This window comes from Homo sapiens, chromosome 5 (assembly GCF_000001405.40).
Source record: "Homo sapiens chromosome 5, GRCh38.p14 Primary Assembly".
NCBI classification, from domain to species: domain Eukaryota; kingdom Metazoa; phylum Chordata; class Mammalia; order Primates; family Hominidae; genus Homo; species Homo sapiens.
This window is the reverse complement of record NC_000005.10, coordinates 111,826,402-111,846,013: the sequence shown is the minus strand read 5'-3', so window position 1 is coordinate 111,846,013 and position 19,612 is coordinate 111,826,402. Positions and strand designations below refer to the sequence as shown.

The window sequence follows — 19,612 nt, the reverse complement described above, 5'->3', positions numbered from 1 at the left end:
TAGCAGCTTAATATTCTAGCTGGTGGTACTTTTTATCCTGTAATACAAAGCATACTAAATGGCAATATGGAGTCATAGTTGTGCACTTAACATGTCTTGAACATGTAAAATTACTTCTATTCCTATGAGGTTTCTTTTCTTTTCTTTTTTTTTTTTGGTAGAATTACTTCCTAAAGAAAACCGCTCCTTGATCATAGCTTTCCATGTCAGAATTACATGCACTCTGTAACACCTTTGGTCATGTTAGTCCTGTTTTCCTAGTAATTTTGTGAAAGATTAAAAATTTGAGTGTGTAGTATATATGATATTAAATTGTGCTTTTTTGAAACTTATGTAACAGCTTATCAACATTTAAATATATTAGTACTTGATATCATCTTAAGGAAACTTTGCTTCCAGATTTTAAGCTGAAAAGTCACTGGAATAACTGTTCAAAAAAGATTTATAACGCATGACTTTTTACATTTTGGGTATGTCTGTTAATAATTGTGTACAAATTGAAATGTCTGTGTGTGAATTCTCAACATAACCATTTAAATCTCAATTATGAAAGTAACAAATATGCCTTCAGAGAGTGATATCAGCAAGATGGCAGAATAGGAGTTGCCAGGGCTCATCCCCTCACAGAAACATCAATTTGAACAATTTATGCACGAACATACTTTCACAAGAGCTCTGGAATCCAGGTGAGAGATTATAGCACCTGTGTAGGGCACAGAAATTAAAAAAAAAAAAAGATGCATTGAGTGAGGTAGAAAGGACAGTTTCACATTACGTTTGTTATTCCACCCCAAGCCCACACAGTGCAGTATGGAGACAGATAACCTCCAAGTAGGGGAAGGAGAGTGAAGTAAGCATGTAAATTCACCTTAGACCCTAGCACAAGGTCTGCCCTACTGAACCATGATTCAAAGCTGGCCCTTGCAGTCCGAAGGCAACAGGCAGACCTCTGTGGCCCCAGGCTCCCGACCCACCCCAGCACTAGGCTGGCCCTCAGAGTCCCAGAGACCAGTTCTGCATCAGTGGCAGGCCAGCCCACATGAACCCAGGCTTTATATATATAATATTTATTAGTTATATTCATGTAAAATACATAATAATAGATAAATATATCAATCACTAGGTTGCTGTGAAGATTCGAGAATTTAGTATGCACAATTCACACAATTTGCATATAACAAGTGCACATAGCCCTTGTTAGGAATTATTGGGGTATTTTATCTCCAGAAACATAGTTAATTTGAGAGCAGAAATTTCAAAAGTAACAATAAGAGTCAGGCAACAATAGAATATATTTTTCAATGGCTAAGAGAAAACAGCTATTATATATATATAATATATATATAATATATATAATATATATATTAGTTGATATATAATGTATATCAACTAAATATTCAAGAATGATTGCAAAATAAATCTTGAAATAAATGAAGACTGAGAGGGATCACCAACAACTCTTTGGCTCTGTATTTCCTATTAAATATTACCTTTCCATATGTAAGAAATTTATCCAGATAGAACAAATGAGATAAAGAAGCAATGATGAGCAAAATAATGCTTTAAATTGTGCATAAATATAAATATTCATTAACTGTAAAAATAATTATTAATTTGAAGTTTATAAGAGGAAATTGGAACTAAAATTTTGAACACTTTAACATAAGATGAGAAAGAAAATAAAAGTCAGGTGGTCCAAACTGCTGAATAAGGTTTAGGAGGATAGCAGTAATGTTAACTAAATATAGAATTTTATGTCAAATATTCATATTTAAAAAAGTAAAACAGTGGAAATTAATTTTACACATTTTATACTTATTTTGGATTTCCACAGTAGCATTCTTTTTTCACTTTATAACTCTTTTATTCTATCTTTTTAAACATATATTTTATATGTAAATCTGTATACTGAATATTAATATTGCTGCATCAGATTTATTTTCATATTTGCCTGATATACCTTTCTATTATACCTATACTTGTCCTTTTACTTTCAACCTTCCACTATCCTTTGTCCCTCTGTTAAAGAGCATATAGTTGACATTTAGGAAATCAAATCTGAGAATCTTTGTTAACTAAATAACTTAGGCTGTTCAGATTTATTTTGTTTAGTGGCCCAGGCCTTAGACTATCCTCTGTGAACCCAGGCTCTAAGCCTATCTCTACAGACCCAGATTCCAGATACGCCTCAGTGGACCCAGAAACCAGGGCAACCAGCCTGAGGACTTCAGCACCATGGTTGCCTGTAGACCCCACCTTCCAACACTTCCAGAATCTCTAAATGGGCTGACTGGTAAAGGGCTTTCCCAGCTAAAGCCAGTCTGTAAAGACTGGAGGAGGTGCCTACCTCTTCAAATGCTCAAACATCAACACAAATCCTCAATGATCACTAATAATAAGGCTCAAGAATGACAATGACATCAACAAACGAACAAAATAAAGCCCCGGTAACTGGCCATAAAGAAACAGAGATCTACAAACTGCCTGAAAAAGAATTAAAAATAATCATCTTAATGAAGCTCAGTGAGCTACAAGAGAACACATATAGACAACTACACAAAATCAGGAAAACAAATAATTTAAACAAATAAATACAAACCATTAAAAAGAACCCAACAGTAATTCAGGAGCTAAAAAATGCAATGACCCAAGTGAAAACTTCCATATAGAGCTTAAATACTTCCACAGTAAACTTAATCAAGCAGAAGAAGGAAGCAATCAGCAAGCTTGAAGAAAGGACATTTAAAATAACCCAGAGGAACAAAAAGAACAAAAAATTTTAAAAAGTGAAGAAAACTTATGGGACTTTTAGGACACTATCAACAAAACCAATATATGTGTTATGAAAGTCCTAAAAGGAGCAGAGAGAAATAAAGGGGAAGAAAGTCATTTTAAAGAAATAACAGAAACTTCCCAAATCTGCAGTGGGAAATGAACATCTAGGTTCATGGATCCCAAATAATCAAAAATAGATTAAACATAAAAAAGATCTTCACCACGACACATTGTAATCAAACTTTTTTGCCAAAGACAGAGAATTTTAGCGAGAGAAAAGCAACTTGTCGCACAAAATGGAACCTCTAAAAAACTATCCGTGGATTTCTTAGCCAGGAAGAGTGGAATAATATATCGTAAGTACTAAAAGAGGAAAACTCAATCAGGAATATCTCACCCAACAAACTTGTTCTTCAGCAATGAAGGAGTGAGAGATAACGACTTTCTCAGAAAAGCAAAAGTTGTGGGAGTTCATTACCATTGAACTTGCCTAACAAGAAATGCTAAAGGGAATTCTTCAAGTTGAAATGAAAGGGCACTATTAACAACTTGAACTGTATGGAAATATATAATGTAAAAATATAGTCAAATTTAAAACACTCTAATATTGTAATGATAGTATACACATTACCTTTATAGCATAAAAATTAAAAGGCAAAAATGGTAAAAATAACAAATAATTTGTTAATGTATGCACAATATAAAATATGTGAATTGTGACAGCAATAACATAAAATGTCGGGGCAGAAGAAGTTGAAATGTAGAGTTCTGGGATGTGGTAGAAGTTAGGTCTTTATCAATTTAAAATAGAATGTTATAACTCTAAAATATTTATATAAATCCCATGGTAAGCACACAGAACTTGGTGCTAGTTTCTCCTTAACTAAACTCACAATATTCTGCTACCCTTGAAAATCCTCTGGAAGGAATGTAGTTACAAACTACATTGTCTCTAGCATAGCAAATCATATTTCAGGGGAAAATATATCCATGCTCCAAATTTATTATTGAAATTGAGGCTCTAGAAGTTTGGAGAGTGGAGATATCACAGACTTTTTCCAGCCAACAATTACTGTAAAGAGTCTAGGTGTTGGTAGGTGCATCAAGGAGTCACATCTTATACAAAGATATGGCTCTAAACTCAGTGTAGATGTTGGGAATCATGTCAGAATGAAATGAGATAATACATAGAGGTCTACAAGAAAGTATAGCACTCAACAGCAATGTTTCATAACAAAAATACAATCACACCAGAGTTTTCCATCCAGTAGGCCCATAGATATCTCAGGGTAAATCACAGAATGCTGACCAGAGAGGCTTGTCACCAAATGCATCTTGGACTCTAGCCTTCCAATCTATAAGATTCAAAAAGCATGAAACATTAGCAGTAAGCAAAAGCTGAAATGTTAACTCTAACCCAAAATTTTCTTATCTCTACTCTGCTTATTGACCAGAAGAGGGGTCTCTAAACCTATTCGAAATCACTGAGTCCTCTGAAACTCTAAGGCCTCCCACTAAGAAAAAATACAGGCCCGTACTTATATAAACAAACCCCTACATATAATTCAAGGGTGTGCCCTAAGGAGGAGGGAACCCCAGGTTTACGAACACCCCTACCACCAGAATTTAAGGCTTTTTAAAAAAATTAAGTCCCTGTCTACCCTTCTAGTCTCATCTGTAGACATTATGTCTTCCACTACAACCGTATCACAGTGTATCAGACCATCTTTTGTGCCTGGCCTTATATCCTATTGGTCTACCTTTTAGTCCAGCTACTGCTATAGAGACCAGCTTTCTAAAGGTATAACTTAACAATACTTCAGCTGTACCTCTTATCTCTTGATTTCTGTCCGGGGACATTCCTGAAAGGATGGAAAGAATGCTGTTGAGAACTTTCTTGACATGTACAAACCTGAAAGTACAAAGTAGTTAACAATTCATGGGGCAACCCTTGACCAGTGGAGGAAAGGAGCTGATGGATAAATATTCCCATGTTCTAGCTTTCAGGGGCACAATTCTGAGGCATGTTTTATATAGTTCTTCAGAGAGTCTGAGCAGAATTGTGCTCCAGATACCCAGTAGGACCCTACTTGATAATGCACCCTTGTATTGGTTCTTCCCTATCCTTGTTTCACTCTTCCAAAACTCCTGTACTTATTCTCTGGGATCATGTTAATAAATCGCATGCATGCAATCCCTTTTCTAAGACTATACCTTCAGAAGAAACAAACTTAAGCACACAGATCTACACAAAACAACTGTAGTTCCACCTGTATGCCTTTCCTGCTGCTCCTCCTTGAAGCTGAAATACCCTTCTCCTTTTATATTAGGCAAATCTCTTTCTCTTTCACACCCTTGCGCAAATATCTTCTGAACCACAGGTCATAAACTGGATTTGCCTCTAGACCTATTTTGTTTGGTTCATAGTTTTTCCTGTCAACATCTTTACTATTCCTATTTGCTTACATGTTTATCTCCTTGACTTGTGGAGTTAAGGAAAAAGATTGTGTCTGATTCATCTTAGTATTTATAGTAGCAGTTTATAAGTATTTAATAAAATATTGTTGACCAGTAAGTGGATATGAGACAGCTTTCTAAAGAGTGACTGACTTAAGCTAATCTAACCTGTGCCTCTTATAGGTTGCATGACCTTGGGGATGTCACTTAAACATTCAGTCTCAGACTCAATTGAGAATGCACTGGACTGCAGGTAACAGAAAACTTAACTACAGTCTCTAATGAGAGTTTGTTTATTCTCTCCTGTAACAAAGTCCAGAAGCAAACTGCTGAGCCAATATTTCTGATTCTTTTGGTCTTTCCTTCCTGGTCGCATAATGGCTATGGTAGCTGTAGTCCTTAAATTTACATACAAGGCAAGAAAAAGAATGAAGAAGAGAGACAGCTGTGTTGGTTCTTTTAATTAAGAAAGCAAACAAAACAAATAACCACCACCAAAAAAATCCCGAGCATACAAAGACTTCTCAGAAATACTAGCCGATCTCTTTTTTTTTGAGTCATGAGCCTGAACCGTGTTATATACCCCTAACAGCAGAGCTATGACATATATGTGTGGGAGTGTGTGTGTGTATAAATTATATGAGACATGCATATAATAATGATTTATACTTACGTCATTATACCTAAATCGCTAAATAACTTATGTCATTATACTTAAATCACTAAACAATGATTTGTGAAAACAAATACTAAATTGAGGAAAAGCACATTTCTCTCTGAAACACGATCAGGATGTTGTTAGCAATTTGGATGCGTTGATGGGATGAATGGATGTCAGGTGTCTTCCAAGTGTCTGCCACACTCCTACTCTGTAAAATGGAGTTAATAGTAACTAACCTACCAGTTCTACAGAGTCTCATGAGGTTCAAATAAGATAAATATATGTGAAAGGGCTTTGTAAAAAATACTATGCAGATTAATACATTGTGCATATAATTTATCCAACACTAAAATCATTATAGGTACATAAATATTTATTAAGACTTTATATTATTATAACAACTTTTGCTCCTACTTCTGACAAAGGGCCTTAAGTAATATTATATATTGAACTAACGTGGTTGTTCTTCTTTTGGAATGTATAGGACTATCCCCATAGCAATAACGGTAACCATAACAGAAAGGTCACCAACACTTCATTATAATTTAATGACAGGAAAGGAAAGAAAAATACGTCATTTTAGTTGTACAGGAGAATTTTGGTAAGAACATACTGTAACCTGACCAGGACAACTGCACTCTTAAGAAAACAATACAGAAAGCCAAAATATCCATTTAATAGCTGATTTCAGAGTCAGCATTCTGAGGCATGCTGTCCTTGGATGTGATGTACAGACATGGGCCGAATGGGAAAAACTTACATATTGAACCATCCACATCACCACCTATGACTCTGGTCATTGCCCTTCATGCTCTGGAAGCAGAATGCCTTGTGTTCCCCCAGCTAGTGAGAGACAACCACATCATAGCCTTAGGTTCTTGTTTAATTTTTTAAGCCGATTTATCCTGCAGTAAAATTTTATTAAATATTAGGCTAAAACTTTGATAACTATGATTTGCTATGCTAGAGACAATGTAGTTTGTAACAATGAAGATGAAGTCTGAGTATGTTTTGTTCATTGTACTACAGGGTTATGATTTCATGTATATTTGATCAATAGAGTATAATCTAGAAACGTCATGACATCCCATTCTGAAATACTTCAGAAGGTATTTTTTAAAAATACGGACATTTTCCCCCATTGAAACATTAAATTATCCCACTTATCAAAATTGACAATACTTTAATTGTCTAATTAAATCCATGTTCAAAATTTTCCAGTTGTCTCCAACATGTCCTTTAGAGCTCATCTGTGTATACATCAGCTACACATATGTATCTATTTCTATATATGTGTTTTTATAGATTATATACGTATCATTATGAATTCAACATATGGGTCATATAGATTATATCATTATATGTATGTCTTATAAATTTATATATGCATACAAACACACACACATATATATATATCATCATGAATTTCAAGGAAATAATCTATAAAATTGTGGGGACTGGCAAGTCTGAAATTTGTTGGGAGGCCAGCTGACAGGAAACCCTCCGATAGAAGATGCTGCTATAGATTTGAAGCAGAATTTCTTCTTCCTCAAGAAAATCTCAGTTTTGATCTTAAATTCTTTCTATTCATTTAATAAGGCCCACACATTATCAAGGATAATTTCCTTTTCTTAAAGTGTTTGTAAATGTTAACCATATTTACAAAATACCTCCACAGCCAATACCTACATTAGTGTTTGGTTGAATAAGGATGTACTATAGCCTAGTCAAGTTGACACATAAAACTAACCATCACGGTATTATTTAGCTTATTCCTGTAGCCCTATAGCCCTGTGCTGACCAGTGTAGTAGCCACTAACTTTTGAACACTTGAAATGTACTTAGTCTAAACTGAGGTGTGCGTAAGCACAAGTCCACATCAAATTTAGAAGACATTCTGCAAATAAAAAGAATATAGTGTCTCATTAATAGAGTTTATATCACATATTGAAATAGTCTTTTAGATATATTGGGTTAAATGTTTTAATTACTGATATTAATTTTGTTTTTTCATTTTACTTTTTAAATGTGGCTACTAGAAAAATTTAAAATATATATATGGCACACATATTTCTTTTGGGTAGTGCTAATCTAACCCCTGTATTTTCTGTAATCTAGAAAATAGACTCTAAAGGTTTAATTAGATTAATTAGCAAAATTGCATTGTAGATGGTGTTATAGACTTCACATAACAGTAGAAAGTATTATATTGATACTATCAGTTATTTACGGTTTGGCCACTGGAATGAGGTGACGACCCTCTGATTCCTCTATGAAAAAATTATGTTTTTCCTCTTTGTGACCAGAAGGTAATCTGACTATGCTACTTTGCCACCATATGAAATGTGTGGTTTTTCATCAACAATTCACCTAATGATTTCAATAGCAATTTATAATTCTTTCCTGAATCATTTCATCAAGCACTGAAAAATAGCTAATGTCCAATCTTGTCACTCTTTGCACATAATTATTATTCCTCTATAACATGAGGCTTTCCTGTTTAACTCAGGCTATTTGGTTGCTATGAATACTTACTAGAAAGGTAAGATAAAGTCTTATCTCTTTTAATTACCACTTTTCAAAGTAAGGAAGTGACTTAATAGCTACCATGAATGATGACAAAATACTTTTTTCTTGTTTTCTCTTTTTGAATATCATTATCAACTCATGGATTTTTTTCATATATACAATATCTTTCAATCAATTTCAACCATTATTCTTTTTGAAGCTTGGATTTTTACAACTTGGACAGTGGGAGCCCCTTAAATAAGGTTTCAGTGTCCTTTTCACAAACCTCATCAGTCCTGAAAAACTTTCTGCTTTCTGGAGCAGCAATACATCCCAGACTTACCTTGTATCTTCCCTACCTGGATCTTGAATCAGTAATTTCTCTAAGAAGCTCTGGTTCTTGATTGTAGGAAATGTATTTAGAAACTAGGATCTTCTGTTTAGAGTCAGACTTTATTCACTGTAATAGTATCTAAATTTCAGTCATAAACTTAGAAGCCAAAAAAAATTTTATTTTTCTATAAGTGAATTTCCACTGATGTCAGAAAACTAAATCTTGCCCATCAAAATAAACTTAGTACCTTCTGGATTTTCTTAGGCTTAATTGGAATTAAATTCAAGTGAATTCAAGTCTTCTTTCTTCCTCTCAATTCTTTTCCCATTTTCCCCAAGATGATACAGACTTAGAGGTTAGGGTGGAAAGAGTGTTTTGTGTTGTCCTAGCACCCAGAAAGAAGTGTCTTATTCATGTAGGGTTTGCCAGATTTCACAAGTTAAAACACGGGACACCCTTTTGAAGTTATATACACAAAAAATGTACATACTCTTTTTCCTCCTCAGTTACCAGGTCTTTGCAGACTACCCTGAGTCCTCCTTGTCTCAGCCTATAGGAATTTCCATGTCACAACCACTGCCAGCTCTCCCTGGCTATAAGAAAATTTAGAATGCTCTCTCTCCCTTCTCTGGGGCTCTGGGAGATTCAAGGCACTGTCTTTCTCCTATTTGTCACATGTCTACTTTAATGCTGGCTTCTCTTTGAAATGTTTTGTCTCCCACCCAAAGCAATAAATACCACTAATATTGATGTAGAGAGCCAAAGAAAACTGAAAGAAAGATTTTTGTTAATGTTGCCAATTTTATTTTGTTGCATATTCCTCAGAAGAGACTTGCTCTTCCCTGACTTAGGTCCTATCTCTCCCCACCTCCAGAATTTTGCTAATGTATTGCTTTTGCACAGTGACCTTCCTCACCCACACCCCTCTCTGTATATTCAGATCTACTCGTTCTTCAGATCCCATACAGACCTAAAAAGCATGCCTTTCCCTTTCTATTCTAATAATACTTCATCTTTGCCTGTTTTGAGGGGCAGTGTTTAATTCATTCATTCTTTCTATAGACATATATTAAGTACCTATTGCCTACCAAGGTTTATGTTCTTTTTACCTGAACTAGATTGCAAACTCTTTGAAAGGAGAATCAGTGTCTAGTTCATCATTACATTCCTGTGCTTAGTAAATATTTTTGAATGAATGAACGAAGGGAGGAAGGACTGAGTTAAGCATATGAATTGCTGACCACACAGATTGCAGGAACCTTATTTCTTTTTCACCTCCTAGTGCCAGAACCTGAATTCTTGGCTTTCCTCACTTCTCTTTTAAAGTTTCTTACATCTGCATCCATTTTCTTTTTGCATATCTTTCTAAGATGAAGAAGGGACCCATTTTCAGTCTCAGACTAGCCTTTCTACTCACCTTCTGGTCAAGAAATCATTTTGTCCTAATTTCCCTATGAACTTTATACAGCAATGACCTTTTTCCCCCTATCTTCAGCCTCTCCTCTGTCTTCTTCTACTCAGCATATAAACAGGCTCAAAAGCCTGAAGTCTTAAACCCACAAACCACTTATCCCAGAATGTTCCTATCTGCCTATCTTTATTTCCTTTAAGGTTACAAGTAACCTATGTTCCAGCCTTATTAAAGTATCTGATCTTCTATCTTGGTTGACCTCCCTTGCTTTTATATGCTCTTTCTTTTGCTTGAATATCCTCATTCTTTGTCTACTTAGTTTTACCTATGAACCCCCTAAATCTTAGCTCAAGGATTTCCTCCCCTGAGAAGCCTTTTATAGAAGAGCTGTTCATGCCCCTACCTTTATAATTTTAGCCTGTATCTGGCTGTATAATAATTATCTGTTGGTAGATAATGCCTCCTTCAGGCGATTGCGAGATCCTTGTGGGCAGGTATAAGGTCTTATTAATACTATTACTATTCCTATTGGCTGGCTGTGGTAGGTCCTAGAAACTTTACTCAAATAGACAAATGAATGAACAAATTAGACTAATAATTATTTTATAGCTACTGCACTGTGCCCAGAAAAAAAATCCTATGATAGTCCAAGTGAATGGGTGTGTTCCTTCTGTGGCTAGCCCTGGCAAGGGCAGCATGACCTTGGCAAAGTTGTGTCATGTATTGAATAGGAAATCAACTAACTTTCCTGTTTGTGTAATATGCTGGCCACAGGAAAGATGGATGTGTGTGGTGAGAGCAGCAAATAAAAAGACCTTCTGTGCAAGGAATGTTCCTCTCTTACATTTCATTTCATAGGAGGTGCCTTCTTGGAATGTGAACCCAAATTCAAAGAAGGTTAAAACAGATCTTGCTTACATGTGCAAAGAAAAGTAGACAGTTGTAAAAATCTTTATTCCTGGTCTGAACCTCCTGCTAAAGCAAACATAGGGAGGAAAAGAAACTTCATAATTCCCCACTTGGCTATAAATTCTTCCTACTATTCACTGAAAATAAGAACTGGGGGGAAAAATTATCTACCAAAATGAATTCATTTTTCCCACTCCAATACACATCTTAAAGATGAATAATCTGAGATGCAAAGCAGTGGGAGGTAATCTGTCCAAGGTTCCACAGCCAGTAATGGGCAAAACTGGCTCTTCAACTCAAGTTTCATAATATTTCACCCTACATTTTTTCAATTACATTCTGCTAATTATCTGCATAAGTTTTAAAAGTACCCAAAGAGGAAGGGATGGCTTCAATAGCTGGAATATATTGTGAGAGTGTAAAATAGTTTGTTTGGATATGTTTCCAAATATTACTGCATTTGCCATTTTCTTAATTAGTCTATGGCCTGATGTTGATCTTTTCTGGCACTTAAAATATTATTAGTTTGAAAATAACTATTTCATATCTTGGTGCTTCAACTACAAAATGTATGGTTCTACTTTTGGAAGCATCAGAGAGATCAATGACAGAACTAAAGAGAGCCATGGTATTTGATAATGAATCTCCCTAGTTGCCATAGGGTAGCTGTTAAGAACTGTGAAGTATGTGAAATTTTATCTTACTTATAATTTTACAAGTTTACTTCATGGATGCTGACAGAAGACATAAGACTCCTGAGTTAGGATTAAATACTTAATTACTCATGGCAATAGCAGTAGCTAGTATCTCCCAGCATTTGCTCTAGAATCTCCTGGCATTTGCTCTAGTTTTCTACTCCAGTTCCCACAGGGCAACACAAAAAAAGTCAGGTGACATCTGCATTCAGTAGGCTGATGTTACAGGAGAGGAGCCTGAGCTTAGGGAATTTGAATCTTTTATAACAGGGAGTAAAACTGCCTACCCTTTGCCCTATAGGGAGACACCATCTCTATCTTCCAAGACTGTTTGCTGCATAAACATAAACAAATATCTCAAAACTATAGTCTGAAACAAAGGAATTCAGTGCCTCTGCTCAAAGACATGCAGAAACAAAAGGGACCTATGGAGTATTGTCTCCCACTAATACCCACCGCATATTTCTATATTGCCTTGGCTTCTAATGAGTTTTCCCATGAGTATGCCACTCCATCAGCCACGCTGATCAATCTTACTGACAGAGGCTGGGACCAAATCTGTTCAAGTAGTCTTAGATAGCATTTAATTAAGGTTACCACCATCAGAACTTCAAACAATAGGATGAGGCCATCCTGCAGTACTGACCTCAATCCTGTCCCCAGGGTATCAAACCCAACTAACTCTACAAATCCCATAAACCATCAGTATTTACTGTAGAAAATCAAGTGGTTTTCTCCCTAAATTGCTTGGCCTGAGGCATTAATCCAGATACAGTATGATTTATTAGTGATGAACAGATTTTACCTCGGTCTGCAAGGAGAAAAGTCTAGAATGATTCTGTCATTCATAACAACCCTGGAAAGTGAATTGAGACTGACCTAAATGCCTTTTGGCGCTAAAGTAGTATCATTGATCAGTTTAGGTAAAGTCAGAAAAACATTTTGTATTGGCTTTTCTCATGGAATAATTGCCATTGTAGGATAAACTGTCCTGAGGGTGCACACAAATAACAAGTCAGTTATCCCTCTGAGGATTTTCCTTGAGTAACTAAAAGTAACCTCATTTTGGAGAGATTTTCACAGTCATCTGAGGGCTACGTGATGTATAGGTGGTTTTTCTTTAAACATTTTCAGGTCTTTTATGAACACCTTTAAGGTACAAAACAGTGTTTTAAAGAGGGAAGCAAGTCCATTTCTGACTTCTGCACAAGTAGTACAGTCCTGGGGAAGTAATTCTTATTTGTAATCATTGGAGCCTGCCTGGCGGGAGCTACATTAGTCAGGGACAGATGAACACTGCTTCCAATGTGGCCTCCAAGCCAGGTTAGGGCTCTACTCTTATTTAGAGTGATTGAGTCTAATCCTTGATTTTGGAGGAACTTCCTGAAGAGTCCAACTTGCCCCGTTTGTTCAAGGTACCACCTGGGTGGCATTTGTCCTACCATGGAATGACTGCGTATTGGCTATGGGAATGGGAGTGGTAAAGAGATTCAGAGATGCTATCAGGCATTTTGCCTGGAAAGCGTAGCAGCTGAGACCTTCCCCTGTTGTTTCTAAGATTTCTCAGTAAAATTAAGGGAAATAGTAACTGTATTGGGGTCAGAACCATCTGGTAGAGAATGACAGACACAGAAGTTATTTAAAGTGCTTGCAATGGTTATAGGGAGAGCCACACTATTGCATTTTCCTTCCTGAGGAAGCCTCCAGGATGGTCTTTTGTTTGTTTGTGTTCTGAGACAGGGTACCACTCTGTCACCCAGGCAGGAGTGCAGTGATGCTATGTCCGCTCATTGCAAGCTCGTCCCAGATTTAAGCAATCCTCCCACCTCATCAGACCCACAAGTAGCTGGGACTACAGGCTCATGCCACCCCCAGCTAATGTTTTGTTGTTGTTGTTGTTTGTTTTTCTGTAAAGGTGGGGTTTCGCCATATTGTCCAGGCTGGTCCCTAACTCATGAGCTCTAGTGATCTGCCTGCCTCGGCCTCCCAAAGTGCTAGGATTACAGGGTTGAGCCACCACACCCAGCCCCAGGGTGGTTTTGAAAGACATAGCTCATTAATGTCCTTTTTTCCTCTGTACCTACTGAGGTCTAAGGTTTTCCTTCCCCAGAGGCCAGGGTTGTGGCTCTACCTCCACTGCCACAAAGTTTTTATGTTCCATTCCCGTAAGAGTAACTTCACTTTGTTATAAATCATTTCCTACTCACTCTTAGACCTTTCGTCCAGAAGGTTCCAATACATCCAGAAGGTAGAAAGCGTTCTTATAACACTCATAGAGACCCTTTGTCCTACACTTGGCCTACGTGGGCCACTCAGCAAGCAGTGTACTCAACCCAGTGACCTTTATCTTGTGGGGGATGTCAACCCCACAAGAGGGCCAGATAGTGGCACCAGAAATAAGTTTTTATTCTCTAGGCCCTTTTTGTCTGGCAGCTATCTTGAGGGCGTGCCAACCAGACTTCCCTGAGGCTGCCATTAACAGAAAGAAAGAAGTGTTGTGTCCAGGAATGATCAGGATAGAACCTCAAATTTTTAAAACAGATCTGGATAATACCCATACTGCTTTCATTTTAGTTATAACTCAGGAAGAGGCTGAGAGAAGATGATTCCTTTCTGGGGACAGCCACCTACAGTGAACAAACTGTCTTGCACAAGTGGGTGAACCGGTGGGAGGAAAGAGTGGTAGAGTCAAAAATCCTTTGGCATTGTTTTTTGAGAAGGATGTTCCAACATGCCCTGATACAGGATGCCTGTGGATGATGAGAAGAGCGAAAAGCCCATCAAATATGTTGACAACCAGCCCATTGTTGAGTGGCTTTTGTAATAAAAGCCATGCATTTTCAGACTCCAGATCGACTAAAAAACTGAAGACATGCCATAGACTAGTTTCAATGGCCCAATGGTATGACCTGAGTTGGCTGATGGAACTGGTGCAATTAACACCAGAAACTGTGAGGATGTCAGTGGAGGAGAGAAACCACTGATAGCCACCAAGAGAAGGGTAAGCCCAGTAGAAAGCTAATTGGTACTTCCAAAAGGGATGTACCCAGTAGCCATGTCAGTAAAGTGATGAGTGTAAAACCACAGATGCGCTTCCAGATGGAAGCTTTCAGTAAAGGTTCCCTTTGCCAGAGACTCCAATAGGCAAAATCATCAGTTACACAGACTTGTAGCTTGTAGAGGTCATTATGGTTTGGGGGCCCTGCTTGGAATGGGCCAGAGAGATGGCTGATTTAAACTAGCGTTTTTCTACATGTTGCTCTTCCCATATAGGAGAATTCCTTCCATCACTTATGGAACAGGGAAGTACAAGTAAATAACACATCAATTTCTGCTGTAGTTTCAAGTTTAGAAGTAACAATAATAGTACATTAAATTAGTCCAAAAGGCCCCACCAATAAAATCACATTAGCTTTCCTTTATTACTGTGGGTTCTGTATAACTCTTATCAGTAGAATCATGGTGTCCCCATCCTTCATGGAACTGATGGGATGATAAATTGGGCACCTGTATGCAACAGAACCATAAAAGTTTGAGTTCATCTCCCTGAAATTCCTCAGCATACTCAAACAGGTATATCTAGCCATTAGAGACAAAGAGACCTCAGCCACACCCCTAATCACACCTTCTCTTAAAGCAGCTTAGGCTGGAGGGAGAATGGCTTTGTGCCAATAAATATGTCTTTGCATTCACATTCAAGTTTGAGTGTTGTGGCTTGTGACTCAGCCAAATAAACTGTTGATTCTTTATATCAGAAGATGAGATCATCATGGCTGACAACACCCATTTCAGCTTTCGCTATCTCTTGATTCCTCAGGAAAGCCACAATGTTTTCCTCTGGGGCTCTGAGGTTTGTATCCTTTGCCTGATTTAGGATTGACTCTTCCAGTGGCACCTTTTGTTTATTTGTTTGTTTCTGAGAAATCCATCTTAACCCAGGGTGTTAGCTCCTTCTGTGTCATTGTAAGATCTTTTAAACTTCACTTGGCTTTAACCTAAGACAGGAGTGTCCGATCTTTAGGGGGCCACATTAGAAGAATTCTTTTGGGCCACACATGAAATACACTAACATTAACAATAGCTGATGAACAACAACAACAACAAAAAAAACAGCTGAAAACTCCTAACATTTTAAGAAAGTTGACAAAGTTGTGTTGGGCCACATTTAAAGCCATCCTGGGCCACATGCAGCCTGTGGGCCATGGGCTGGACAAGCTTGACCTAAGATCTAGGAAAGTTTTCCTGAGTGGCAGTGCTAATTACAAGAATCTGTCTAGATTCTTTTGGGAAATTTTTTCATTCTTGAGTGAGTCACTTTCATCAGCACTGTACACCCAGTCCAGGGCTGTAAGAGCTGGTATAGTAGTCAATACCTCATCTGTGTTTCCCATGGGAGCTTTTCCAGCCCATGGCACGCTATGTGGGTGAAGTCATTGAGTTTAAAAAGCTAGGAATGGGTTGGATAAATTCAGTAGCTAGTCAATGTCTAGATCTCCTGTCATCCAACACAGAAAAATAGCAGGGTGAGTGGGCTATTATCCCTCAGCTCAGAAGATTGAGTTCAGGTAAAGTCTAGACTGAGAGTCAGATACCAGGTATTTACAAGGGATTTGATCTCTGAGTGCATCCATTGTGAGGCAAGAAAGAGAAAGAAATTTGATGGAGGAATTGAGCTTAGAAGCCAGAAAGAGCAGATGTAAAGGGACATAATCTGGAATCAAAGGTCAAAAACCTAAAGGGAACTAGGTATATGTGGGTGCAGATTGGGAAGAAGCCAGAAGTGTCAAGGCACATTACATTGTCTTTATGGGCCGGTGGGTGTCAGATTATCTTGCAGAAACATGTTTATGATAATCATCTCTCATTTGGTCTTCTGAATTAGAGTCTTAACTGGTTTCTCTGACTCCAGCCTCCCCCTGCCAATTCTTCCTCCATGTGGCTGCCAGAGTTCCATTTACAAAATACAAATCTGATTATGTCAGTACGTTGCTTGAAAACCCTTTTTTGGTCTCTCACTGCAAAATGAAAGTCTCAACTCCTTAGCATGCCGCTTAATGTCCTTCACAAGTTGAACACGGTTTGCTTTGCAACCTCATCTCTGTGTCTTCCCAACATGTACCCAATGTTCTAGCCACATAGAATTATATGTTTTTGTTTTTTTTTTTCCAGATACACTATGCTCTTTCATGATGGTTTGCCCTTATTTCCTTGCCTGGAATGACCTTGTCTTTCTCTGCTTGGAAAACAACTAGCTTCAGCTCAGCTGTCTCCCCCTCTAAATGTCTCTCTAATCTACAGGCTGTGATCCCATAGTATCACATGCACATTGATTATGATGTTGTGTTTGTGTAATGCCTATTATCTGTGCTGTCCACCAGGCTGTGACCTTCCTGAGAGAACTTGTCTTATTCATTATGATAGCTCCTCTACCTATTTCAAACCTTGGCATACAGTAGTCATTTATTCAATATTTGTTGAATGTAATAATATCTTAGTGATACAACAAATTGTTTGAGGCAGTAAGTTTTTTTATCATGCTAAAAATTCAGATAGGGACCCAAGTATCTAGATTATTATTAATAATAACACCACTCCACCAAGTATAATATTAATGATTTTGTATTACATAGTCATTTTTTTTATTTCCAAAGCAATCAACGGTAATTGCTGTAATTAAGCGCTCTAATCTTTAAGGCTCTTAAGTGTGAAATTAAGCTGAAGTCATCCAAGGGACAGCAGGTAAACATTGTTTTAGGGAATTAATATTTGTTTGTGGTTTTTCCAAAGAGACATATAGGTTATACATATACTCAACAATTTTTTTTTCTATAATACTCTTACTTGGTCCCAAAGTAGCACATCCCCTCCATACTCCCTCACTCCCACCCCAAACTCCAAAGTTCCTCTTCACCTATTGCCTAGAAAACAAATATCCGGCCGGGCGCGGTGTCTCACGCCTGTAATCCCAACACTTTGGGATGCTGAGGCGGTGGATCACTTGAGGTTGAGAGTTCGCAACTAGCCTGACCAACACAGAGAAACCCCATCTCTACTAAAAATATAAAATTAGCTGGGCATGATGGCACATGCCTGTAATCCCAGCTACTCAGGAGGCTGAGGCAGAAGAATCGCTTGAACCTGGGAGCTGGAGGTTGCGGTGAGCCGAGATCGTGCCATTGCACTCCAGCCTGGGCAAACAAGAGCGAAACTCCGTCTTAAAAAAAAAAAAATTCTAAAGGAAATATATATTTTGTATCAAGTTACCTAAAAATACAAAAGGTGCTGTGGAAGCATTATTTGAAATAGTTTTCTGAAGGAACCTCTGGAAAACATACTTCTTGTGCCTTTGGTACTGTCTTGGATCTCCAGAGAGTACATAGGTTTTTTGTTGTTGTTTTTTGTTTGTTTTCTTTTGTTTTTTGAGACAGAGTCATCCCGTGTGGCCCAGGCTGGAGTGCAGTGGCATCATCTCGACTCACTTCAACCTCCAACTTCCAGGTTCAAGCAATTCTTCTGCCTCAGCTTCCTGAGTAGCTGGGATTACAGGTGCACACCACCACACCCAGCTAATTTTTGTATTTTTTAGTAGAGACAAGGTTTCGCCATGTTGGCCAGGCTGGTCTCGAATTTCTGACCTCAAGTGATCCACCCACCACAGCCTCCCAAATTGCAGGTGTGAACCCCCACACCCGGCCTAGAGCACACAGGTTTTATTCAATCTGAAGGGCAACTGGCATAACCATTTTCTGGAAAAGCACTGTAAATGGATGACCTCATAACCTTGGAGGAGCAGCCTGGTTCCTCAGTAACTTGGGCATTGTGTAGCCATTTTGTAAAAATCTTTGACTCTGCCAGTGATCCTTGTCTTCATGACAAGTATTAATGAAGTGGAACTAAGAAAATATTAGTAGCCCCAAACAACCCTTCTGGTGTAACATGTTGGTTCCTTGACATTAAACTACAAGTATAGGTAGGAAGCAAACCAAACGTGTGCATCCCTTACACTGATGGTATGCAGCAGTGCCCATTATTCCACTAGTGAAGTTTTATCAAACATACATTTAGAGTAGTAATAATCCTTCACTATATAAGGAAAACATCACTGATCAATCTCAACATTTTTCCCACTGGACATGGGAAAGCCGACTACTAACAAGCAATCAAAATTAGTGTTTAAGAAAATATCTAGCCAACTATTAACGAGCAATCAGAATTAGTGTTTAAGAAAATATCTATTTGCCAATTTTACCCCAGTGCATAAGGATACACTCTCAAATAAGAAAATATTATTTGTAATAAGGCAACCCAACAAATATTAATTGGCTATTGTAATGTACATTACATGTGGGCTTATTCCATACCCATTCCAACCCTCTTTCAACTTACCTTCTTCCACTAAAATGGGGGAAAAGCTCAAAATTATACTTCCGGCTAGGTGTGGTGGCTCAGGGCTATAATCCCAGCACTTTGGGAGGCCAAGACAGGTGGATCACTTGAGGCCAGGAATTTGAGACCAGCATGGCCAACATGGCGAAAACTCGTCTCTACCGAAAATACAAAAATTAGCCAGGTATGCTGGCACGTGCCTATAATCCCAGCTACTGGTGTGTGCAGAATTGCTTCCTTCTGGTGGGTTCTTTGTCTCACTGACTTCAAGAATGAAGCCACGGACCCCTGCGGTGTTAAAGTTCTTAAAGATGGTGTGTCCTGAGTTTGTTCCTTCAGATGTTCAGATGCGTCTGGAGTTTCTTCCTTCTGGTGCATTGGTGGTCTTGCTGACTTCAGGAGTGAAGCCGCAGACCTTCATGGTCAGTGTTACAGCTCATAAATGCAGTGCAGACCCAAACACTGAGCAGCAGCCA

The 19,612-nt window shown here is 37.9% G+C and overlaps 1 protein-coding gene and 1 long non-coding RNA gene across 4 annotated transcripts in view; one reads left to right on the top strand and one right to left on the bottom strand.

The window, feature by feature from the left end:
* NREP (neuronal regeneration related protein) overlaps positions 1 to 19,612 on the top strand; it is a 248,131-nt gene that overhangs the window by 130,919 nt on the left and 97,600 nt on the right. The gene's annotated exons all lie outside the window — the stretch shown is intronic.
* On the bottom strand, positions 652 to 19,245 carry LOC105379122 (uncharacterized). 2 transcript variants are annotated; one of them, XR_007058900.1, is made up of 3 exons: positions 19,137 to 19,245; positions 4,605 to 4,637; positions 652 to 703 (listed from the first exon to the last, which is right to left on the bottom strand). It is a non-coding gene; the product is annotated as an uncharacterized LOC105379122 (long non-coding RNA). The 2 variants fall into 2 exon arrangements; XR_948673.2 differs by having other exon boundaries at positions 685 to 703; positions 4,605 to 4,687.